This window comes from Homo sapiens, chromosome 6, assembly GCF_000001405.40.
Source record: "Homo sapiens chromosome 6, GRCh38.p14 Primary Assembly".
NCBI lineage: Eukaryota > Metazoa > Chordata > Mammalia > Primates > Hominidae > Homo > Homo sapiens.
The window spans coordinates 26,275,283-26,298,967 of record NC_000006.12 but is presented as its reverse complement, the minus strand read 5'-3'; the positions used below and the strand labels follow the sequence as shown (position 1 = coordinate 26,298,967).

Below are 23,685 nucleotides of genomic sequence, written 5' to 3'. Positions count from 1 at the left end.
AAATAGAAATGCAAAAATTTTTATTATTAACAATTTTTACATTTAATAGATGAATCAACACGAAAATGTAATGCATTAGCATCATACTATGGAGAAGATATTTATAGAATTTATAATGTTCCGTAGCGCTCTTGGCCCCATCATGGCATATAAAGTTCTATTTTGTGTGGCTTCTTTCAAGCCTGTCAGTGAATCTCTGTGAAGTCAAGTACTTCATTTGAAGATAATGTCAACAGCCTACATATAAGACATTTCCTTAATTTTCCTAAACCCCAGATACTGGGAATAATGGCTCTCCTGGCTCATTTGTGATAAGTCTTGGTTTCTCTTGGTTAGCAAATATAGCGGCTTCTGGTGCATAGAAATTGGGCCTTTTACATAGTCTTTCTTTCCCTATCCATAGAATAACATCTGACAAATAGTAGGAGCTCAATAAAAATATGCCGAATTTCTCATTTATTTTCGAATTCTGCAATCATCTTCAATGTGAGAATTATTATTATTATTATTATTATTATTATTATTATTTTTGAGACAGAGTCTCACTCTGTGGCCTAGGCTGGAGTGCAGTGGCACCATCTCAGCTCACCGAAACCTCTGCCTTCCAGGTTCAAGCGATTCTCCTGCCTCAGCCTCCCAAGTAGCTGGGATTACAGGCGCCCACCACCAATGCCTGGCTAATTTTTGTATTTTTAGTAGAGACGGGGTTTCACTATGTTGGCCAGGTTGGTCTCGAACTCCTGACCTGAGCTGATCCTCCCACCTTGACCTCTCAAAGTACTGGGATTACAGGCGTGAGCCACCACGCCCGGCCAATGTGATAATTATTTAACAATATTCTTCTATTCTGCAAAAATCTTTGTTGCTCTCTCTTTCTCCTTCCTGGAGAAGATTGATTGAAAGGCTATTATAATATCTGGATGACCCATAAACCATTATGGGTAGTGTTTGTAGAAGTATCAAGGAGTGGTTGAATTCTGGGTATGTTTTAAAGGGTTTGTGATTAAATTGGTGTGAAATAAATAGAAAAGTCATATATATCTCCAGTTTCTTTTGCTGTAACAACACAGTTTGCATTTACTGAGACAGGAATGACTTCAGAAAGAGCATTTTGAGAGTGGAGTGTGTATGTGTGTGGTGGGGATCTAGAATCTGTTTCAGCATTTACTTCAAGTTGTGTATTGAACATTCAAGTGGAGATGACTAGTGTGGAGTGGTCAGATTTAAATAAATATATACAGTCCCAAACTTTCCCTTTCCCAAGTTAGAAAAGAAGTGACTTGCTGAAAAATAAACCAATCAAGGACCAGATCATAAACATGAAAACTCTAAAGACTTTTTTCCTTTATTTCCCCCCTTATTGATTGATTGATTGATTGCTGCACCTCCTGGAATGGGACAGAGACTTTTTTTTCTCAGAAGAGAACTGGAATAATATTCTTTGCTCACAATTGGTCAGTGGTTTCCTATTGCCCACTGAAAAATAAAATCCAAGTGTTTGCCTTGTATACTCACGCCCTTATGACCTGTTCTTTCCCTTTTTGTTCTGCCATAACTCCAAACCAATTTTAGGTATTGTAAGACCTAAAATTTCAACTGCTGCCTTGAGATTTTTGACCCTCACAGAGCTCCCCAAAAATGCTTATCCACAAATTCCCCTGTCTTGATAGCTATGACTCCCACAAGCAGGAAAGGTTCCCTACTTGTCCAGTTCCCTTATCTGACAGACCAGCTGCATCTCACTCAGGCCTCAACCTAATGGGTTTCGTCTCACTGCCAGTCCCTAAAACTGTTAAAGCAAGCCAACTACATTCTCTGGAGGGAACCAGGAGTCACCCAACCCTCTGATGACTACAAAGCCTACCTCTCACAGCCCCTAATGGTTCATTCTGTTCCTGAGTGCAAACCTTCTGTGGCCTTGCACGGTATGCAGTGCCCTCTTTTTTCCAGGCTGTGAGTACATATGACTAATAAATTTCTGCCAGTCTCATTTATTCAGTGTTGAGGTCATGTGTCCAGCCTTCTTACTATTTAGGGCAGGAGAATTTATTGTCTTTCAACAGGTGCACAGGAGGTGATCGGAACACAGCCACTTTTCTCTCCAAATCCCTCTCCCTCACATGACCTCACCTCCATACTTCATCACACTGAATTATTTGTAGTTCCTTAAAAACCTTTAACTATTATGCTTCCTTATATTTATTTCTTTTTGCTAGAGTGCTCTTCTCGGCTATATGGCAAGTTCTTACTCATTCAAGTTTTGGCTCAAAACCTGCCACCATTTCAGAATCAGACAATTGCCAGGGCAAAATTAATGCAGCAACCCTGTTTTAGTTTTCATTTATCTCTGTAGATAAGTGCCATGGTGATGACCCTTACTAAAATATCGGAATGTTCACATACTTACTGGGTAATAATGTTATTCTATATATCTCAAGTAGTGTGTCACTATGAACTAGGTTGTCAGCATTATTTAAAGTAAATATGATGATTCATGATGTGTGCCTGGTGTCTGGTTCCACATGCCTGGCCACGTGGTAGCTATGACTAGCTCCCCTTAACAACTTTGACTCTAATGCCCAAGTGGACTTTGCTATGCAAGCATAGCTTACACACATGCGTGCAGTTCACAATTGGAGAGAAAGGGCTTTCCTATCCTCAGTGAAGACGTTGGATGAGAAAGCCTTCTTTAGCCTTCACCTGTTGGAGGCCAAAGGAATGAGGGACGTGACCAACTCAATATACCACTGGAGGGTATATGAGCAAACAGCAAACTGTTCTCATGAAAGCAGGATGTTGGCAAACTGACAACTGCATCTGTCACCAGAAGGAATGCTGAGGGCAACCACGTCCCAGGCACCGTGTTCCTTAAGGTTATCTATAGGAACATCTGGAGTCTGTTGAACAAAGAAAGCAATCATGTGAGCCTGTGATAAATCAAGTAGCTGACCAACAGTTACCCCTTCCTCCCTGTTCACTCCACGTAATAAATATGAAGGGCTGTAGAAGCTCAGGGCCCTTGTTCTCTAGAAGCAAGGAGCCCTCTGACCCCTTCTTTTAAACAAATTCTTTTGTCTTTGTCTTCATTTCTGCATTTGTCCTCCTTCGTTTAGTCCTACAGTAACAGCCACAATGGCACCCAAACAGAGACTTGAATGAAGAAGGTCTGCTGGAGCAGAGAAAGTGAAACTGATCAGATGAACGAGGAACCCCAGGACGAGTCAGCCAGAGGAGGATATAAAGTCAGTGCCCTGAGGAGGTACTGGGAGCGGGAAGTTTCTGAATCAGGGTAACATGGGGCAGAATTTGTCTATGGAGGAGCAACATTATGTGCAGTTGCTTAATGCTCAGGTTAGCTCTCAAACACTAACTAAGCTTCTGCAGGAGTTTATTATGCATAACCCATGGTTTCCACAGACAGGCACCCTCAATGTGGAAAATTGGGACCCAGTAGGAGACAGATTAAAACGGGCTCATCAAAAAGGTCTCAAAGTTGATCCTTCTGTTTTCTCTGGGGTTTAGTCTGTACTGTCCTTCTGCCATTGTCCCCTTCTTATTCTGCTGGACCACAGGAGCCATGTTCTGAATCTCAAAAATTGAAAGAATCTTTTGTCTCACCCACAGCATGCATTGAAAATGATAAACAGGAGGCCAGGCACAGTGGCTCACGCCTGTAATCCCAGTACTTTGGGAGGCCGAGGTGGGCGCATCGTGAGGTCAGGAGATTTGAGACCATCCTGGCTAACACAGTGAAACCCCATCTCTACTAAAAATGCAAGGAAATTAGCCAGGCGTGGTGGTGGGTGCCTGTAGTCCCAGCTACTTGGGAGGCTGAGGCAGGAGAATGGCGTGAACCCGGGAGGCGGAGCTTGCAGTGAGCTGAGATCGTGCCACTGCACTCCAACCTGGGTGACAGAGCGAGACTCTGTCTCAAAAAAAAAAAAAAAAGAAAAGAAAAGAAAATGATAAACAGGAAAGGACGAAAATTGGCCTGTACCATCCCCCCAATAGCAGAAACATCTATACCGCCTCCTTCAGTAGCAGAAAGAGACCCCAACACAAAGAATTCTCTGCGCTGCTGCCATAGCTGGAGAGCCCCTAGGACCTTGCGCTTTTCCTATTTCCGTAAGGCCCAATCTGAATAATCCACAGCAGTTTACTTATGAACACACCCCGGTAGAGTTTAAGTTGTTGAAGGAATTAAAAGCTAGTGTAGTTAATAATGGAATACAGAGCCCATTTACTTTAGGATTGCTAGAATCTGTACTCGGTGCTATGTGCCTTCCAGCCTTTGATATAAAGCATTTGGCTCACACTTGTTTGTCTGGTAGTGCATATCTGACATGGAATTTAAACTGGCTAGAACTGTGTGCAGACCAGACTAGACAGAATCGTGCTGCTGGACACGGGGACATTACAGAGGATATGCAACTGGGTAATGGCCCTTATTCAGATCTGCTGCGACAATTGACACTCCCAGGCACTGCTTACAAGCAGTCTGCCTTGGCTGCTAAACGCGCCTGGGACACCATTCCAGAGCAAGGAGTCCCAGTACAATCTTTTCTACAAGTTATGCAAGGGTCGCAGGAGTCCTATGCACATTTTGTTGTACAATTACAAGAGGCAGTGAGGCATCAGATTCCTCATACCGCTGCTGCAGAAATGCTTACTTTGACTCTAGCTTTTGAAAATGCAAGTGCAGATTGTAAACGTGCTCTGGCACCTGTGAGGTCTGCAAAGATCTTAGGAAAATTTCTCAAAGCCTGTCAGGATGTGGGAACTGAACTCCATCATTCTACAATGTTGGCTCAAGCAATGGCTAATTTAGTAGTAACAAATCTAGAAAGGGCCAAGGGTCAAGCCCTAAAGTAGGAAAATGTTATAATTGTGGAAAAATTGGACATTTCAAAAAAGAATGCCATCAGACCTCTGGGCAGAGAGGATCTTATAATGCAGTTCCCCCAGACAGAAAAAATGCCAGGACTTTTCACTCGTTGTAATAAAGGAAATCATTGGGTTAATCAATGCCGCTCAAAATTTCATCAGAATAGCACCCCCCTGTCGGGAAACGAGAAGGGGGCCTGGATCCGGGCCCCTCAAACAATGAGGGCATTCCCCATCCAGGCCACAGCCCCATTTCAGGGATGGGTTCCCAGAAGAACATTGATTCCCTCTCCCCAGGAACACCCAGAAGCACAGGATTAGATCTTCCAGTCAGAGAACGGGTTACATTTGTTGGAGGAGACAAACCCACGAAGATTCCCACTGGTATTTGGGGACCTTTGCCAACAGGATATATGGGATTAATTTTGGGCAAAAGCCGTCTTAACTTACAGGGCATTACCATGGTCCCCGGAGTTGTTCACTGTGATTATGAAGGAGAAATTCAAGTAGTAGTAATGTCACAAGATCTTTGGGTTTTTGAACTGGGAGAATATACTGCTCAACTATTGCTTATTCCCTGCAAGTTGCACCCTTCCCCATGAAAGGAAAAACGAGGGAATCAAGGATTTGGAAGTACAACTAGGCGGTAAATTTATCTATCACAACCCATAGCATTTAATCGACCCACCTGTACAGTGCAAATTAAAGGAAAGAAGTTCTATGGGCTTATGGATACGGGAGCTGATGTGTTAGTAATATCCAAACACTATTGGCCCACCATCTTGACCCCTGCAATTAACTTCTACATCCTTAGTGGGACTAGGAAAGCTCAAAGTGTTCAGTGGAGTGCTGAGATTTTATCCTGTCTCAGACCACATGGACAGTCATGTACTTTTCAACCTTATGTTGCAAATATAGCTGTTAATCTATGGGGCCGAGATTTACTGACAGCATGGGACATGAGACTTAAAAAGGAAACTATTGATAATCCAGGATTTAAAATGTTAAAGAAAATGGGATTCAGAGTGGAAAAGGCTTAGGAAAGCCCCTGCAGGGAAACCCTGATCCAATATCAATAACTGGACAAAACAGAAAAGGGCTAGGTCATCAGGATTTTTGGTGGGGGTCATTGGTATTTCTCCTCCACCCACTGCTTTGCCGCTAGAGTGGCTGACTGACAAACCTGTGTGGGTGGATCAATGGCCCCTATCACAGGAGAAACTGATGCAACTCCATCAGCTAGTGAGAGAGCAACTGGAAGCAGAACATACAGAATAGTCAGCCCCTGGAATTCACCTGTATTTGTGATCCAAAAATGTCAGGAAAATGGCAACTGCTACATGATTTGAGAGCTATTAAATGCACAGATTAAACCAGTGGGTGCATTACAGCAAGGTCTGTCATCCTCAGCAGCCATTCCAAGAGATTGGACTCTTGTAGTAATAGGTCTTAAAGAGTTTTTTTTTTAATATACCATTACACAAAAAGGATAAGCCTCAATTTGCCTTCTCTGTGCCTTCTATTAATCAAAGAGAGCCTGTCTCTCGCTCTCAGTGGAAAGTTTTAGCCCAAGGCATGCTCAACAGTCCTATGTTATGTCAGCATTTTGTAGGAAAAGCTTTAAAGGAGCCTCGCAATATATTTCCCAATGCCTACATCATTCATTATATGGATGATATTCTTTTGGCCGCTCCTACAGATCAAATGTTACATCAGTTATTCAGGGAAATAAAATGAGTCTTGACTGCATGGAATCTCAAAATAGCTCCTGAAAAGGTGCAAACAACCTCCCCATACCAGTACTTAGGTACTATTGTTACTGGAAGAAGTGTTCGGCCTCAGAAAGTAACTCTCTGTAGGGAGAGGGTACAAACTCTGAATGACTTCCAACAATTATTAGGGGATATCAATTGGCTGTGCCTGATGCTAGGTATTGCCATCTACCAACTCACACACCTTTATCAAACCCTCCAAAGAGATTCTTCATTAGATTCTCCTCGGCAACTTACTAACGAGGCAGAAGCTGAGTGACAGCGTGTAGAACAGATCCTTCAGCAACAACATGCCTCCCGGCTACAGCCACAAAAGCCTTTGCTTTTGTTTATTCTTCCTACCCCCCATTCTCCATCAGGATTTTTAGGCCAATTCATAGACAAATCTGTAATGGTAATATAAAGGCTTTTTTTTTTTTTATTCAATCTGACAGTGAAATCTTTGCAAGTTTATCTTTCTTTAATTACTCAACTTATAACAATAGGTAGGCACAGGTAAAAAATGCTTACGGGATATGATCCTGATAAAATTATTGTTCCCTTGGATTCCCAACAACAGGCCGCAGCATGGGAAATGTCGACTGCATGGCAAATTGCTTTTGCAGATTTTGTGGGAATAATAGATAACCATTATCCATCAGACAAGATTTTGCAATTTTATAAAGTTCACCCTTTTATCCTCCCTGTAATTACCCATCACAAGCCCATTCCAGGTGGAAAGACATATTTTACCAATGGCTCTTACAAAGGCCGCACAGCTATTTATGCAACTAAACATACTCAAACAATAAAGATCTCTGGAGTTTCAGCTCAATGCTCAGAGTTAATCGCAGTTATTCAGGTTTTAGAGCTCACGGCTTTATCTCCTATTAATATTGTTTGTGATTCAGCCTATGTTGTAAATGCAGCTAGTTGCATTGAGACTGCCACTATTAAGGGCACCCTAGAACCAGAGCTGCTTAATTTGTTTCTAAGACTTCAGCAAGCTATTCTCTCTTGTGCTGCTCCTATTCGCTCTCATACGCAACTTCCTGGACCACTATCTCAAGGTAATGATAAAGCAGATAAATTAATTGGTTCTGTATTCCAACAAGCCCAAGCTTCCCATGCATTACTGCATCAAAACACCTCTGCCCTTACTCATATGTTTCATCTGCCTTGCAGTCAAGCTCAAGCTATTGTGCAAGCCTGCTCCACTTGTCAGCATGTCCCTGGTGTTGCACCCGTGGAAGGATGCGACCCACGAGGCTTGGCTCCAAATGAAATCTGGCAGATGGATGTTGCACATACAGCAGCCTTTGGCAAACTTAGCTATGTTCATGTGACTATAGACACCTACTCCAATATGTTACATGCCACATGTCAAACAGGGGAAACTGCTGGCCATGTCCAATGGCATTGTTTGTCGTCATTTGCCCATATGGGGGTCTCTAAACAATTAAAAACTGACAATGGACCTGCTTATGTTAGTCATGCTTTTCAAAATTTTTTACAGTTATGGGCAATCATTCATAAAACAGGAATTCCTTACAATCCCCAAGGACAAGGCATTATAGAGCGGGCACATCAAACACTACAGCGTATGTTGAGAAAAAAAGGGGGAATAGGAGACCAGCTACCACCTTAAACAAAATTACATTTAGTCTTGTTTACTTTAAATTTTTTGATGCCTGGTATGGATGGTAAGACTCTAGCAGAACAACATTGGCAAGTGTTAGAGGGAAAGAGGCAAGTTTATCCAAAGGTGTTATGGAAATCCCCAGAAGAAGGACAAAGGAAAGGCCCAGTGGATTTGCTGATGTGGGGATGAGGGTATGCTTGTGTTTTTACAGGAGATGGACAAACTGTGTAGGTGCCCTCCAGGTACGTGCAACCATGGAACGGGAGACTGGAGGGATCCGTGGATCGCAACCATGGGCCCGGTTCCCCCAGTACAAGCCATAGGCCAGTTGAATCTGAATGCAAAGATGGAACAAGGGCCGACTGGAGTCACATTGACATCCACCCTCATAACATGGGGACAGATCAAGAAAACCATGCAGGAAGCTGAGAAAATGCTGGAGTGCCAGGGTCAGGCAAAAACCCCTGAATCAATGTTCTTGGCCATACTAGCTGTAGTGTCCTGTGTGGTATGTTTCCCCTGTGTAGAAGCAAAAACATGTCGGGCATATGTTCCTAACCCCTGAGTAGTGCGACCTGTACTCTGGAGTGACACTCCTCCTGAGGTATATCGTGATCAGGGAGCATGGACCCCAGGACCCCTAACTCCCCCTGACACAGAACTATTAGACTGTCAGAACAATAGTATCAATTACACTGCCCCATTGGAGGGACTCCCTTTATGCATCACCAAGGATACATCGCTCAATGGCAGTTGCCTTGCAGTCCAATCCCAGGCATGGTTGAGTCACCATGGAAACATTATGTACCTATTAGGCCTTAGCTCTAATAATATTACTGGTGGATTTACTAATCTCTCCCAGCCCCATCGTCCAAATTGTATTGATTATACAGAATGGGCTCCCTTCAATAATTCTCACCCCCCTCCTTGGATCCAGTGTCTTGACCCCTTAGCTAGACAAGTCTATGTTAATGGGAGACATTATTGACTGGGGTCCCTGTGGTCATTTGGGAGAGATGAGAATCAGACCTCATGGAACAAACTTCGCTGCCACTGGTGGTGAACATTTAACATTTCTTCGCTATATCGCATTGGGATTCAATCCTAATCTGCCACGCAACTGGCTTGGCACGGAACAGGCTTTAGTCCGCCTTTGCCTCAGCGGCGTCATCAAGGAAAGAGGGGCCCAATTCAGCAGTCGATATGGAAGTTAGCACTCCCATTTATGAATGGCAGCATCTGGGTCAGGACACTATCCAATAATAGTAATAGGACTCAACACAGTTTTAATGTTACCTTTGTAAGAAATATTATCACTCAATTTACAATTTGTGTTTTTAATCCCTGTATCTTTCTGGCGGCTAAAAAGGACCAACTCCAGGTAAACGTCTCCCATTTGACTTGTGACTCCTGTCAACTGTATCACTGCATAAATCATAGCACGATACAAACACACAACATATCCACCTTAATAATTCCGGGTTGCATTCCCAGATTATGGATTCCTGTCAATTTGTTTGAGCCTTGGGTGGCTATCCCGGCTTTATATTTTGTACAACTCCTTCTTACTCAGCTCACTCACTGTGCTTGTAGAGCCTTAGGCATGGTAATTTTTGGTACAGTCTCCCTAGTTACACTAATAACCTCTATTGTAGTGTCCTCAGTAGCACTGCACAGCTCTATTCAAACAGCTGAATATGTGAAAAATTGGACGCATATGGCCAACCAGGCACGGATGCTTCAAAATAAAATTAACACCAAAATACAAACAGAGGTGGCAATGTTAAAGACTACTGTCCTGTGGCTAGGAGAACAAATACAATGTTTGCAGTTGCAGCAGCAATTGCATTGTCATTTTAACCATACTTATATTTGTGTAACTAATTTGTGTAATATAATCAAAGTGAATATCCATGGAGACTTGTAAAGGCCCATTTGCAGGGGGCTTTTACATCCAATGTTACTTTTGATATTAATGATTTACAGAGTAAAATTCTTGATCTGAATAGGCAAACTTAAGAGTATCAGCCCTCTTTAGAAGCTTGGAGCTAATTCCAGCAAGGTTTAGAGAAGCTTAACCCTTGGATCTACTTTAAACAGCACCTCAATGTCTCTTTTATAATTATAGGAATAATGTTATTGTGTCTCTGTTTTCTGTTTATGGTCTGTAAAATCGGCTGGACCACCAACTGGCAATTGAAAGCTGCAGTCTGGAATTGCCTTTATTCAATTAATGCAAAAACAAAAAGGGGGAGATGTTGGAGGCCAAAGGAATGAGGGACGTGACCAACTCAATATACCACTGGAGGGTATATGAGCAAACAGCAAACTGTTCTCATGAAAGCAGCATGCTGGCAAACTGACAAGTGCATCTGCCACTAGAAGGAATGCTGAGAGCAATCACGTCCCAGGCACCGTGTTCCTTAAGGTTATCTATAGGAATATCTAGAGTCTGTTGAACAAAGAAAGCAATCGTCAGCCTGTGATAAATCCAGTAGCTGACCGACAGTTACCCCTTCCTCCTTGTTCACTCTACCTAATAAATACGAAGGGCTGTAGAAGCTCAGGGCCCTTGTTCTCTAGAAGCTAGGAGCCCCTTGACCCCTTCTTTTAAACAAATCCTTTTGTCTTTGTCTTCATTTCTGTGTTCATCCTCCTTCATTCAGTCCTATAGTAACAGCCACATTTACCTGTGTATATACATATTTTTTCTGCTTTTCTTGCATTGTATCCTGTGCTGTAATGAATCTTTTTTGTTTTTATTTTTAAAACATGTTCTTTAACCCAAACAAAAAATGGTCAATAGATATAATAAATCTTAACTGAGAGTATGCTGAGTCATGTGATTACTTCTGGTGAATTACTGAATTAGTGGGTGGTCATGGGATTACAAGCACTATTTTCCTTATTCCCAGTGCACTTAGTGTACAATCCTTTCACAGAATTACTGTATTGCACTCTACATATTTACTTGTTTAAAAGCATATGGGCCAGGTGCGTTGGCTTAAGCCTGTAATCCCAGCAGTTTGGGAGGCCAAGGCTGGCGGATTGCCTGAGGTTAGGAGTTCAAGACTAGCTTGGCCAACATGGTAAAACCCTGCCTTTATTAAAAATACAAAAATTAGCTGAGTGTGATGGCAGGCACCTGTAATCCCAGCTACTTGGGAGGCTGAGGCAGGAGAATCTCTTGAGCCCAGGAGGTGGAGGTTGCAATGAGCCAAGATCGTGCCACTGCACTCCAGCCTGGGCAACAAGAGTGAGACTTCATCTCAAAAACAAATAAACAAACAAAAAACAAAAAACAAAAACAACAAAAGCATATCTAGACTGTAGACTACTTAAGGTTTTTTTTTTTTCTTAGTTCCTAATACAGTATGTGACACATAAATATCTGAATAGGAATCCTTTCTGAGAGAGAGAAGCATAAAGCAGTCCACACATATGTTTAAAAAATAAGCACAGCGAATAGTTCTATTTGAGATATTAAAGGATGGTAGAGAGTAGAGACACATTTACCAGTAGGGTCCGCAAAAATGTTTTTCTCAGGTCAGAGTTCAATCAGTGCTATGAAGACTCCACACCCACCTCAAAATGCAACTCATTTTCCGAGATTAAGATCCTTGTAGGTGAAAAGAATCTGTGTGGGGATTTAGGAATTCCTAGTCGATTGCCTTAACTACTTGGCAAATAGTGCTTTCTGAATTATGTATCAAAAGATATAAAACTCCATTCCTGGGCTCCCACCCCACCCCACCCTTGGCACTCAGTTTATGTAAGCATTCTCCTTGCTTGGCAGGTTAACTTACAACTGTCATAACTGGCTGCAACAGTGGTATAGCCTCTAAACAAGAGAAATTTGCTTTGTTTACAGATGACATATTGATTAATGACACTTGGGTGTCCATGAAAATCAAAATTGTACATGCAGAGATTGTAGTTTCACATTATTTCCCGGAAATGCTTGTAATTCTGGAATTAAAGAAATACTCGGGTTCATTTTGTTTTCTTTCGTCATTGTTTAACCTAAAAAACTGTAACTTAAAAAAAAGGGATCCTCAGGAAAATAGACGGGGGGGGAGAAAAAAAAAGGACCTAGCAGAGGATGGTTTCGATCCATCGACCTCTGGGTTATGGGCCCAGCACGCTTCCGCTGCGCCACTCTGCTGTTCTGCCAGGCACACGGTCTCACAGTACTCTTAACTACTTACAGGAGATGCGTTCAGACTACCTCGTAATTTAAGAAAAAACCTACGAGCAGTTGCCTACTTCTTTGGCTACCACAGGTTGCCAACTCACTTTGGAAAAAGGAATCACCAGAATCAAACAGAAAACAAAACTAGGGATAGAAAAATAAATATCAATACACTGGTGGGCTAGGCGCGGTAGCTCACGCCTGTAGTCACTGCACTTTGGAAGACCCAGGCAGGCAACATAGCGAGACCCTGTCTCAATAAAATTAAAAAAAGGAAAAAAAAAAACCCCCACCCCGAAACCTACACACTGGGTGCAGTTGTGAGGGGCAGTTAGATATTTAAATGGCAATTACAAATTTTAATAAGCAGGGAAAGAAGAGAACAAACTGGGAATAGAATCAGGCCTCCGCGCGGAGGGCAATAATTCTACCACGAATCACTAACCTATCATGCCTTCGCCATCGGGAAGAAAACCCTTTTGGTTATGTTTCCCTTGGCTTGGTGATGGAGAGGGTGAAATCTTGCAGTTTTCAAACACTTCCGAAGGGGGGTTTCGGTCCGCATGTGCTTTACAGCCGGCAGCAGAAAGCCAGTCACTGTGACCTTGGGGACAAAGCTGCACTCCTCAGGCTTCCGGTCTTGTGGACCGAGGCTCCTCTCCAATCGTCCTAAAGCAACTGAAGGAACAATTGATAACAATTTAAACATGTTAATTTATTTAATCTGATTTGGTTGTTAAAACAGCCTTAAAACTCTCATTCCTATTTCCCAGCAATTGCAAGAGACGCCTCCGCGGAGCCGGCGCTCAGATGCCAAAGGCTGGAGTCGTTGGTGACGTCATCCAGGGCTGGGCTATGCGGGGTGGGGCCAAGAAGCAGGACCAAAGTTCCGGTATGCGCGCTTTCAGTCTTCAATTAGGTCCGAATTCCCGGCATATAAGGGCGTTGCTTTGCCTTGGCGTTTAGGTTTCTTAAGTTGGTTTTAGAAGTTGCTTAGTCATGTCTGGCCGTGGTAAAGGTGGAAAAGGTTTGGGTAAGGGAGGAGCTAAGCGTCATCGCAAGGTTTTGCGCGATAACATCCAGGGCATCACTAAGCCAGCTATCCGGCGCCTTGCTCGTCGCGGCGGTGTCAAGCGAATTTCTGGCCTTATCTATGAGGAGACTCGTGGTGTTCTGAAGGTGTTCCTGGAGAACGTGATTCGTGACGCTGTCACTTACACAGAGCACGCCAAACGCAAGACCGTGACAGCAATGGATGTGGTCTACGCGCTGAAGCGACAGGGACGCACTCTTTACGGCTTCGGTGGCTAAGGCTCCTGCTTGCTGCACTCTTATTTTCATTTTCAACCAAAGGCCCTTTTCAGGGCCGCCCACTTTTTTCATAAAAGAGCAGACATCTTGTTATCCTGCTTTGTTCCAGATTTTTGCTGAGAAGTAGTTACTGTGCACATGTGTAGATTTGCAGGTAACGTTTAATTACTCGTGCTTAATCTCGCATGTTTAGGATTTGGGCATAAAGTACTTAAAGCCACTGTTTTCTGCTTGAGGGAAGTTGGTATGTTGAATATGTTTAGCTTTCTTGTGGCATTTTAACACTAGATATCAGTGAGTAAGCTGGATTGTGACAGTTTATAATTCCCGTGGGCCTTCCTCCTTCAGTTTAAGCTTGAAGCGTTCGTAAGGTTCTCAAAGACTACAGAAGTTGGAAACTTCGCGGAGAGACTGCAAGTTACCCTTTCCAAAATGGCGGGAAGGGCTAAAAACAAAGAAAGCTCGCACCCAGACGGCGGGCCTTAAACCAAGGCGAATCCGTGAGCGCAACACATCTGCGTGAGTAGGATCGCAGACCCAAGTCCAGGCGGCGTGCGCGCTGCTGCTTTTGACTTGGTGACAAAACTCGTCTACAAAAGGCAGTGTGGGGTAACAATATAAATGTTCACTTGAGAGCTTGCAAGTATTGTTTCCAATAGACTTAAAATGTGTTTTTGAATATTACGAAAATATTAAAAGGTAGGGTACCGCTTAGTGAGCAATATAGAAACATCACCATAACTTATTTTGTTGTTGTTGAGACGGAGTTTTGCTCTTTCATCCAGGCTGGAGTGCAGTGGCGCGATTTCGGCTCACCGCAACCTCCGCCTTACAGTTTCAAGCGATTCTCCTGCCTCAGCCTCCTGAATAGCTGGTATTACAGCCGCCCGCCTAATTTTTGTGTTTTTAGTAGAGATGGGGTTTCACCATGTTGGCCAGGCTGGTCTCGAACTCCTGATCTCGTGATCCACCCGCCTCGACCTCCCAAAAGTGTTGGGATTACAGGCATGAGGCACTGCGCCCGGCCACGAAAACTTAAATTCTTAACCAGCAATGATCGCCTTTTGAAAAAGTACACATTCAGGCATCAGGACAATGATTTGCTAGAGACCAAACTTGTAGGAGATTTGGATTGGCTTTTTTTTTCCTTTTTTGAGGCGGAGTCTCACCTTCGCCATGCTGGAGTGAAGTGGCGTGATCTCGGCTCACTGGAACTTCTGCCTCCCGAGTTCAAGCGATTCTACTGCCTTAGCCTCCCAAGTGACTACAGGCTCGCGCCACCACGCCCAGCTAATTTTGGTATTTTTAAGTATAGGTGGGGTTTCACCATGTTGGCCAGAATGGTCTCCATCTCTTGAGCTCGTGATCCGCCCGCCTCGGCTTCCCAAAGTGTTGGGATTACAGGCGTGAGCCACCGCGCCCGGCCTGGATTGGCTTTTCTTACGGCATCATTTTACTTGGCTTCTATACTCTGTCCTGAGCAGAAGTGACTTTTATATACTTAGTTGAAATCAGGTTAATATGCTTGTCAGTTTATACAGAGACATATGTCTGGTTTATCTACGTTGAAGATAATAGGACAATTGCTGCTTTAGGATGATAGTTCCATTGTAAAATCAGATTTTTCCTCTTTGTGGTCAGCAAGCAAATTGTAGGGTTATAACTTTGAAATCGAGAAAATCAATGGAGTTAGGGTTTCATCTTTTTTAAAGATATGCACTTGTACATTAATATGAAAAGAACGATGTTATCAGAGCTAAGGCACTGGTTTGTATGAGGATATAAATTTAACAACAAAAATTGAGCACATAACGTATGCCAGGTACTGTTCATGGCTCTGAGAAGTATAGGAGTGAATGACAGTGAACAAAACAGTATTTTCTGTATGCATGGCGTCTGTTGGGTGTGCTTTCACACGCAAAGTAAGTGAAACTATCAGATGGTGCTAAGTGCTATCACTGAAACAGGCTAAAGACGTGTGGAGGGAGGAGGTGATGTTTAATTAGTTATTTTTTTTGAGATAGGGTCTTGCTCTGTTGCCCAGGCTGCAGTGCAGTGGCGCGATCTCGGCACATTCCACCTCCGCCTCGCTTGGGTTCAAGCAATTCTAGTGTCTCAGCCTCCCGAGTAGCTGGGATTACAAGCATGCGCTACCACACGCAGCTAATTTTTGTATTTTTAGTACTTATGGGGTTAGGCTGGTCCTGAATTCCTGCCTCATGTGATCCGCCCACCTCGGCCTCCCAAAGTGCTGGGATTACAGGTGTGAGCCACCGCGCCCAGTCGAGAACGTGATAATTTTAAATGATAGAGTCATGGAAAGCTTTACTGATAGAGCGATGGTTGCAGAAAAAAAGACGAGAGAATATTCCAAATAGACGACCAAGTAGCAAAGCCTGGAGATAGCAGAGAGTTATTGTGTCTGGGCAAAAGGGCAGAAGAGGTGCAGAGGAATGGAGATGAGGTCTGAAAGGCAAATGGAGGCGAGAAGGGTGCAGAGGAAAGGAGATGAGGTCTGAAAGGCAAATGGAGGCGAGCAGTTCCTATATGGGCGGTGTAACTACTTTGGCTTTTATTCCTAGTGAGGTGGGAGCCACTCAGGGTTTTGAGCAGAGGACTGAGTTGATCTGATTTATATTTTAGAATGAGCTGTCTGGATGCCTGATGAAGAATAAACTGTGATGGAACCTGGATAGGAGCAGAGACCAGTTAGGAGGGTACTAAAATAAAGGAGTTTAGATGGCAGTGGCTTGGACCAGTGTATTAGTGGTAGAGGCTGTGAAAAGTTGTTGGATTCTTTGTTTATTTTGAAAGAAGGTTGATAGTTCGTTTCTGAGTCACTGAATGTGTAGAGTATGAGAGAAAGAAAATTTATGGATGATTCCAGTGATTTCATTGACAGCAACTGAAATGGAGGTATCAATTGCTAAAATGGGGAAGAATACTGAAGGAACAAGTTTTGGAAAGAATTCCATATCTTAGTTTTGGACATCCAGAGAGAGTGTCAGATGCTTATTACACATATCTAAGAGGAAGATACAAAGTAAACAGTTTGATATATAAATCTGGATTTCAGAAAAGAGGTCTGGGCTGAAAACATAGATTGAGTTTTTACTCCCATGAGGGTAAAAAAGCCAGAAGGTGAAATGATATCTGTTAGGAAAAGAGGATTGATAATGAAGAAGAAGCAGTGCAAGGACTGGGCCCTGGGTTAAGGAAGTAAGGAATGTTTGCTTTGTACATACGACATCTGGATTCCTAACTTACAGTTTTACAAGTGCTTTATTTAGTAATTCTGTTTCTGTAATTTTTGGAACAAACAGAAAAAGTTATCCCTATTTTACAAATGTGGAAAAATGCCCTTGGTAATAAGGGTATGCAATAATATTGCAATTTTCATTCAAATAACCTATTAAAGTTAGAGCCATGAAGGGGTTACTTTGGAGACCCAGTGATAGATATTCACACCTTTTTCAAAATGTGCCCACTTTCCCCATATATTTTGCTTGCAATTCCAGGAGTTCTCAGGCCTCCTGAAACGTATTTGTGGATCTCAGCTTGAAAGCTCTGTATTTGATGCTGCCTTTTTTCTTCCCTTAGTTCTGTGGCTCCTGATGGATCTGAGAAGATGGACGTGGAGGATGAAAATCTGTCTGATTATTTTGAACTGATGTTTGTTGCTATGGAGATGCTGCCTATATGTTGATGTTGCAGACGTTAAGTCACTAGCCCACAGCCTTGTATTCCATACTCAGAGACCCTGCTACTTACTTGACATCTCAACTTGAAAGTCCAATTAATATGCACTTCAAACTTTAATAGGCTTCAAACAGAATTTCTTTCATTATCTCTGCAAAACAGCTTCTCTCATCATCTTGAAATTAGTGAATGGCATTTTACTGTTTTAGTTGGAGTCATTTCTGTGGTTTTCTTTCACATCCTACATAACAATCCATCAGTAAGTTCTATGAGCTCTTCTTTGAAAACAAACAGAATCCAACTGTTTCATTCCCACTTCTGCTCTGGTCAAGCCACTGCCAACACTCACCTTTATTATTGTAGCACCCTCATTGCCTAGTTCTGTCCCACAGATTTCCAATAAAAGGTGAATAAAATCAGGTCACTCTTCTGCTGAAAACCCTCCAATGGCTCTCATTTCGCTAAAAAGAAAACCCAAAGTCCTTTCAGTACCTTGCAAGGCCCCACACTCTGGCTCTTGTTATCTCTTTGGCCTCAAATCCCACTACTCCTTTCCTTCCTCGCGCAGCTCCGCTAGCCTCAAACTTGCTGTAAGTATGTATCTTTCAGGGACTATATATTGACAGTTCCCTTTGTGTGGGCAACTCAGCTTCTAGATTTAAGTGTTGCTGCCTCACTTCTTTCAAATAACACCCTCTGTGTGAGGCTGGTTGTGACCCCACTGGCATTACAATCCTGCTCCCTTCCTCACGGCCTTCCCACTATATTTTTCCCTGCTCCTAAGGATCCTGCAGTCTATTTGGAGAGTGAAAACATATCCTTATGAAAAGGAAAGCAGGAATGGAATATTATATGGAATGTCAGATGAGTGTAATTCAAGTCAGTATCAGAAGTGATAGTTCCTGGCTTGGTGCCAGATGTTGGAGGCCTGTTGGGCCAATGACAGGAATGTAGACTTTATTCTGGACAGCAGAGAACCATACAAAATCTCCCCTCCCTGCTTTGGTTCTGATTATGTCACAATTCTAGCATCTTTCATGAAACTAGTTTTTGCACTGAGCATATTAGACTCAAATTATGTGTTTATCTTAATAAGTGCCTAGATGAATATAAATAAAATGAATATAAATCTAAATTTACAATTGACAAAATGATATACTTTAGTGTACATAAATCTAAATTTACAATTGACAAAATGATATACTTTAGTGTACATTTTAGGTTATGTCCTTCTGGCAGAAAAGGAAGATATTTCAAGAATTATCCTTTACACAGCAAGTCTTGTATATTAGCAGTGATTTTTGTAAAGTGCCTGGTCTTTTGAGTATCTACAGACTTTGAGTATAAGGGGAGATTGCCTTTTGTATAACCAAATTTCTAATACCAGAAATATTTATGGAGGTTCTGTATTTTTATGGAAGGTGAGATGACTTTTCCGTGAATACATTTGTTCATTATTGTTTCTTTATTTGCTTTAAAATTTATAATTCTAGATATATATAAAAGAATGTAGGCCGGGCGCAGTGGCTTACGCCTGTAATCCCAGCACTTTGGGAGGTCGAGGTGGGCGGATCACAAGGTCAGGAGATCGAGACCATGGTGAAACCCCGTCTCTACTAAAAACAAAAAATTAGCCAGGTGTAGTGGCGGGTGCCTGTAGTCCCAGCTACTCGGGAGGCTGAGGCAGGAGAATGGTGTGAACCTGGGAGGCGGAGCTTGCAGTGAGCTGAGATTGTGCCACTGCACTCCAGCCTGTGTGACAGAGCAAGACTCCGTATCAAAAAAAAAAAAAAAATGTAAGGCCAGGTATGGTAGTGCATGTCTGTAATGCTGGCACTCTGGGAGGCTGAGGCAGGTGGATCACCTGAGGTCAGGAGTTCGGGACTAGCTTAGCCAACATAGTGAAACCCCATCTCTACCAAAAACACAAAAATTAGCCAGGCATGGTGGTGCGTGCCTGTAGTCCCAGGTACTCTGGAGGCTGAGGTGGGAGAATTGCTTGAACCCAGGAAGTGGAGGTTGTAGTGAACTGAGATTGCGACTACATTCTAGCCTAGATGACAGAGCAAGTCTCCGTCTGAAAAAAAAAAAAAGTATTAAATCCACATCCAAGTTATAAAGGATAATATGATGACCATGCTTGAACCCAGTTGCCAACCAGGTATAACAAATACTACAAATAACAACTTTGACCTCATCTCTCATCCTCCCACTACTTCCCCTGGAGGTAGCCATTGCCTTGAAATGTTGCTTGCTTGGCATTAAAATTCCTTATGCTTTTCTGGTCCTTACACTAATACTGCAAGTTTTGCTTGACTTTCCCATTTGATCCTCTTTGAGGTCACTAGTGCATTATTTTATAAACAAGAACATATACTTAGAGTCACATGGATTATTAAGTGGTTCACTAATCTTATTCTATTCTTTCCTGTAATGTTAGGATACTTGTCTCTTGCCTTGTTTTTCAATTTCCTTAGTGTGCAATTGTATCTTACAATTATCTTATTAATTTTTTATATACCAAACCTAGAATAATACTGTATACATAGTTGGTGTCCAATAATTAATTAATTTTTTTTCCTGCAAATATGGAGGCAGTAGAAAAAAGAAAAAAATACTTTTATTTTTCTTAACACAGGACAGAGAAACTTGGAAAAGGAAAGGGCTTAATGGAGAACTTCCTTTTTCCTAACTACACTATTGGGAGTTTTAGAGACAGCCAAATAGAGAAAGTTCTCTCCAGAGGAGCTGATCCTTTCATCCCAAAGAATGCAACAGAATTGTTTACATTTTGGCATTGAGCCTTCTAGTCAGTTTTTTTTCCTGTAACTAACTATACTACACATGTATATGATATATTAATATAAATGAGAATATATGATTTGGCACCTTTCCCAAAGTACTATCCTTCAAGCATATTTTATGTTTATTTTTTTGACGTTAGTTTTAATAGCTGCACAGTATTTCATTATGCATAAACCATTTTTGTCTTTTTTCTTCTCTTAAGACAGTGTCTCTCTCTGTTGCTCAGGCTGGAGTGCCGTAACGGGATCATGGCTCACTGCAACCTCTGCCTCCCTGGCTAAAGTGATCCTCCTGTCTCAGTCTCTTGAGTAGCTGGGACTACAGGTGCACACCACCACACCGGAGTAATTTTTGTATTTTCTGTAGAGATGGGGTTTAACCATGTTACCCAGGCTGTCTTAAACTCTTGGGCTCAAGTGATCTGCCTACCACGGCCTCCCAAAGTGCTGGGATTATAGGCATGAGCTACTGTGCCGGGCCTGATAAAACCTATTTTTAGTGAAACTCTTGCTCTTCTACATATTTCCAATTTTTAGCCACAATAAACAAAAATATGTTAAAATAGAATCAATAGAATAGGATTTTGTATATTATTAAATATATGATGAAAATGAATGGTGGTAATCTAGGATGAGGACCAAATTTCAAACTTGGATAAGCAGAGCTATGAGGATAATGAGGCCAGTCTTGGTCCTGCTGGGTTTGAGCCACCTGTGGAATACTTAGTTCATATAGTATTTGGAAGACTAATTACTGCACTTCTTGTTATAGACTGATTTACCCTCCTCCCTGCTGCATATGTTGAAGTCCTTGAAAATATGACTGCATTTAGAGTTAGGGTCGTTAAAGATATAAAATGAAGTTATTGAGGTGGGTCTGAATCCAATCTGACTGGTGTCCTTATAAGTAAAGAAGACTGGACACACACACAGAGAAAAGATAATGTGAAGACACAGGGAGAAGACAGTTATCGACACACCATGGAGAGAGACCTCAGAAGAAATCAACCTTGCCCACAGGGTTAATCTTAAGAGTCGTAGCCTCCAGAATTGTGAAAAAATAAATGTTTAAGCCACTCAGTCTGTGGTACTTTGTTATGGCAGCCCTAGCAAACGAATACACATCTCAAACATTTTCATTCTGGGATTATTTTTCTCTGCATTTTTTCAGTGTTACGTCTGCTTCTCTACCCTAGCAAGACAGACATACAGAACACAGATGCCTGCCCACACCTACTGTGTGCTGTAGGGAAGAAAACAGCTTTCCCTTCTACCCATCTGAAATTCATTGGCTGGGGCCCTGTAACAAAAGACAGATTAACGAGAGAAAAGCATATACATTTGATATGGTTTGGATCTGTGTTCCCACCCAAATCTCATTCAGTTGCAATCCCCAGTGTTGGAGGTGGGGTCTGGTAGGAGGTCATTGGATCACAGGGGTGTTTCTCAAGGTTTAATACCACTCCCTTGGAGCTGTTGGGATAGTGAGTTTTGTGATCTGGTTGTTTAAAAGAGTATGGTACCTCCACCTCTCTCCTTGCTTCTGCACCACCATGTAAGATGCCTTGCTTCCCATTTGCCTTCCGCCATGAGTAAAATCTCCCTGAGGTCTCCCCAGAAGCAGAAGCTGCTATGCTTCCTGTACAGCCTGTGGTTTTATGAGCCAATTAAACCTCTTCTCTTTATAATTACCCAGTCTCAGTTATTTCTTTATAGCAGTGTGAGAATGGACAATACAACATTTATTTAATATAAATTTCACATGACATGGGAGGCTTCGTAAGGAAATGAAGACCTGGAGAAGGGGTAAACCTGAGTATTTTTACACTAGGTTTGATGAAGAGTGGAGAGTCATGCAGAAATATAATAGGACAAAAAGAAGACTGTCAGCTAAGGGTAAAACAGAAACCTAGCAAGGTCTTTTTGTTCAGATTTCTCTCAGACTCTCTAGGACTCATGAGGGTCCTATGACCTGTTTCAGGGGAGAAGAGTTGGGAAAAATCAGAGAGACCTTCCTGCCCACGATGCTTCTCATATTCTTTCACCCATGAGGGTCCTATGACCTGTTTCAGGGGAGAAGAGTTGGGAAAAATCAGAGAGACCTTCCTGCCCACGATGCTTCTCATATTCTTTCACCTTAAAATATTCAGTATGTCAAGGGGCCATATTTTGAGATAGTATGTTCTGAATGCCATCAAGATACACACTGCTGAGGGTAGATGGGAGATAGTAACTTCTTGGTTCTTTTCAGAAATTATTTACTGCAGGAGTGACAAATACAATAGTAGCAGCTACTCAAATCAGAGCCTAAAAATGATGTTACTTCTCTAGTGGTGAGGTGGTGTTCTTCAGCTTTTCAGGCCAGGAATTTACACCAATCAGTTTCCTTTGAAGTGACCTATGTCTCAGGGATACAATGGATTCAGGAAAGTGTGGCCCTCGTTAGCCAGCCAATTTCCTATGTTCCAATTAAAGAACATACTTATCAAGGTGCAGAAGTTCATCTGAAAACAGGGCTGTGATTTGGAGGTATATGAGGGAAACCTAGTCAACAAATGGATGGAAAATAAATGTAGCAAGGTTAGCAAAGTTAATAGGAAACTTGGGAAGAAAAAAGAGTAAAAAAGTACTAAGCACTTCTCATGTGAATTTCTAGGTTTCCTTACAACTCAACACATCTGACCATTAAATGGGGCACTCCTAGTTCCAGTGAGGGCATGAGACAGTCCCTGGAAAATATGAGACACGTTGCTTGAACTGGCAAGCAACGATAGGGAAATCAAACAGCCACAGGCAGTAGGATGTCTTCAAAATGCTTCAGAGGAAAACAATGGCTTTAAAGATGGGATTGAACTGTTCAAAGAGTATTATTTACACTGCCAGACAAAGAAGCCCATTTCACATCAAATGCTAATTATTCCAGGCCTTAGGACTCTGGGCTTTAAATGTGGGCAGGACCAAAGGCACCTTCCCTATCACTTCAACCAGAGGCTTAGCCACAGCTAATATTTAGGGGGTCATTCTCTGTGCAGACACGGTCCTAAGTGCTTTAGCTGTGTTCTTTGATTCGTCACTCCAGCAATGTCATGCAGTAGTTACTAATTATTATTCCTGTTTGGAATAAACAGGTAAGGAAGCGCTTACAAAAGAATTAGATAAATTGCCCAAACTTAGGATTGAAACAATCAGTCAGGACTGTATCACTTCCTGAGTGATGTCCCCCTTAATCCATGCTTGAATATTTCATGAATATATAATTTAAAATGTATTCAAAATTAGCTTTGGGGAGCAAGAAATGAATGCCTTAGTTATATTTGGGGCTTAGAGAATTTTCTTCACAAATTCCATTACAAATTTACTTTGAGACTAGCCTGGGCAACACAGTGGGACCCTGGCTCTACA

General features: G+C 42.2%; 1 protein-coding gene, 1 long non-coding RNA gene and 1 other non-coding gene across 3 annotated transcripts, besides 11 other annotated features; 1 reads left to right on the top strand and 2 right to left on the bottom strand.

Moving 5' to 3' along the window:
* Positions 1 to 3: 3 nt before the first annotated feature.
* On the bottom strand, positions 4 to 13,288 carry LOC124901287 (uncharacterized). The gene is made up of 2 exons (XR_007059520.1): positions 12,915 to 13,288; positions 4 to 2,897 (listed from the first exon to the last, which is right to left on the bottom strand). It is a non-coding gene; the product is annotated as an uncharacterized LOC124901287 (long non-coding RNA).
* Positions 1,521 to 2,048: a transcriptional cis regulatory region, noted in NCBI's record as "candidate enhancer chr6.1130 targeted for multiplex CRISPR interference". NCBI's record gives its function as "positively regulates expression of the H4C8 gene with high confidence and the H1-2 gene with lower confidence in K562 cells {active_cell/tissue: K562}" and the evidence as "EXISTENCE:mutant phenotype evidence [ECO:0000015][PMID:30612741]".
* Positions 2,553 to 3,212: a transcriptional cis regulatory region, noted in NCBI's record as "candidate enhancer chr6.1129 targeted for multiplex CRISPR interference". NCBI's record gives its function as "positively regulates H4C8 gene expression with high confidence in K562 cells {active_cell/tissue: K562}" and the evidence as "EXISTENCE:mutant phenotype evidence [ECO:0000015][PMID:30612741]".
* Positions 2,733 to 3,027: an enhancer, noted in NCBI's record as "tiled region #6564; K562 Activating DNase unmatched - State 5:Enh". NCBI's record gives its function as "activates a minimal TATA promoter and a strong SV40 promoter by Sharpr-MPRA in K562 cells {active_cell/tissue: K562}" and the evidence as "EXISTENCE:reporter gene assay evidence [ECO:0000049][PMID:27701403]".
* Positions 3,123 to 3,172: an enhancer, noted in NCBI's record as "active region_24235". NCBI's record gives its function as "activates an Ori minimal core promoter by ATAC-STARR-seq in GM12878 lymphoblastoid cells {active_cell/tissue: GM12878}" and the evidence as "EXISTENCE:reporter gene assay evidence [ECO:0000049][PMID:35858748]".
* On the bottom strand, positions 12,371 to 12,442 carry TRX-CAT1-2 (tRNA-iMet (anticodon CAT) 1-2). Its single transcript has one exon. It is a non-coding gene; the product is annotated as a tRNA-Met (tRNA).
* Positions 12,654 to 12,703: a silencer, noted in NCBI's record as "silent region_17003". NCBI's record gives its function as "represses an Ori minimal core promoter by ATAC-STARR-seq in GM12878 lymphoblastoid cells {active_cell/tissue: GM12878}" and the evidence as "EXISTENCE:reporter gene assay evidence [ECO:0000049][PMID:35858748]".
* Positions 12,950 to 14,149: an enhancer, noted in NCBI's record as "BRD4-independent group 4 enhancer chr6:26285047-26286246 (GRCh37/hg19 assembly coordinates)". NCBI's record gives its function as "activates an origin of replication core promoter dependent on BRD2, P300/CBP, MED14 and CDK7 cofactors, and independent of BRD4, by STARR-seq in HCT116 cells {active_cell/tissue: HCT116}" and the evidence as "EXISTENCE:reporter gene assay evidence [ECO:0000049][PMID:35650434]".
* Positions 12,950 to 14,593: a biological region, named in NCBI's record as "BRD4-independent group 4 enhancer GRCh37_chr6:26285047-26286246".
* Positions 13,044 to 13,433: an enhancer, noted in NCBI's record as "active region_24234". NCBI's record gives its function as "activates an Ori minimal core promoter by ATAC-STARR-seq in GM12878 lymphoblastoid cells {active_cell/tissue: GM12878}" and the evidence as "EXISTENCE:reporter gene assay evidence [ECO:0000049][PMID:35858748]".
* Positions 13,122 to 13,857: an enhancer, noted in NCBI's record as "NANOG-H3K27ac-H3K4me1 hESC enhancer chr6:26285339-26286074 (GRCh37/hg19 assembly coordinates)". NCBI's record gives its function as "activates a minimal SCP1, AML or CMV promoter by ChIP-STARR-seq in naive H9 embryonic stem cells {active_cell/tissue: H9 hESC(naive)}" and the evidence as "EXISTENCE:reporter gene assay evidence [ECO:0000049][PMID:30033119]".
* Positions 13,434 to 13,842, top strand: H4C8 (H4 clustered histone 8). The gene has a single exon (NM_003543.4). The coding sequence runs from the start codon at positions 13,469 to 13,471 to the stop codon at positions 13,778 to 13,780; it is 312 nt and encodes a 103-aa protein (NP_003534.1). The 5' UTR covers positions 13,434 to 13,468; the 3' UTR covers positions 13,781 to 13,842.
* Positions 13,584 to 13,743: an enhancer, noted in NCBI's record as "active region_24233". NCBI's record gives its function as "activates an Ori minimal core promoter by ATAC-STARR-seq in GM12878 lymphoblastoid cells {active_cell/tissue: GM12878}" and the evidence as "EXISTENCE:reporter gene assay evidence [ECO:0000049][PMID:35858748]".
* Positions 13,858 to 14,593: an enhancer, noted in NCBI's record as "NANOG-H3K27ac-H3K4me1 hESC enhancer chr6:26284603-26285338 (GRCh37/hg19 assembly coordinates)". NCBI's record gives its function as "activates a minimal SCP1, AML or CMV promoter by ChIP-STARR-seq in naive H9 embryonic stem cells {active_cell/tissue: H9 hESC(naive)}" and the evidence as "EXISTENCE:reporter gene assay evidence [ECO:0000049][PMID:30033119]".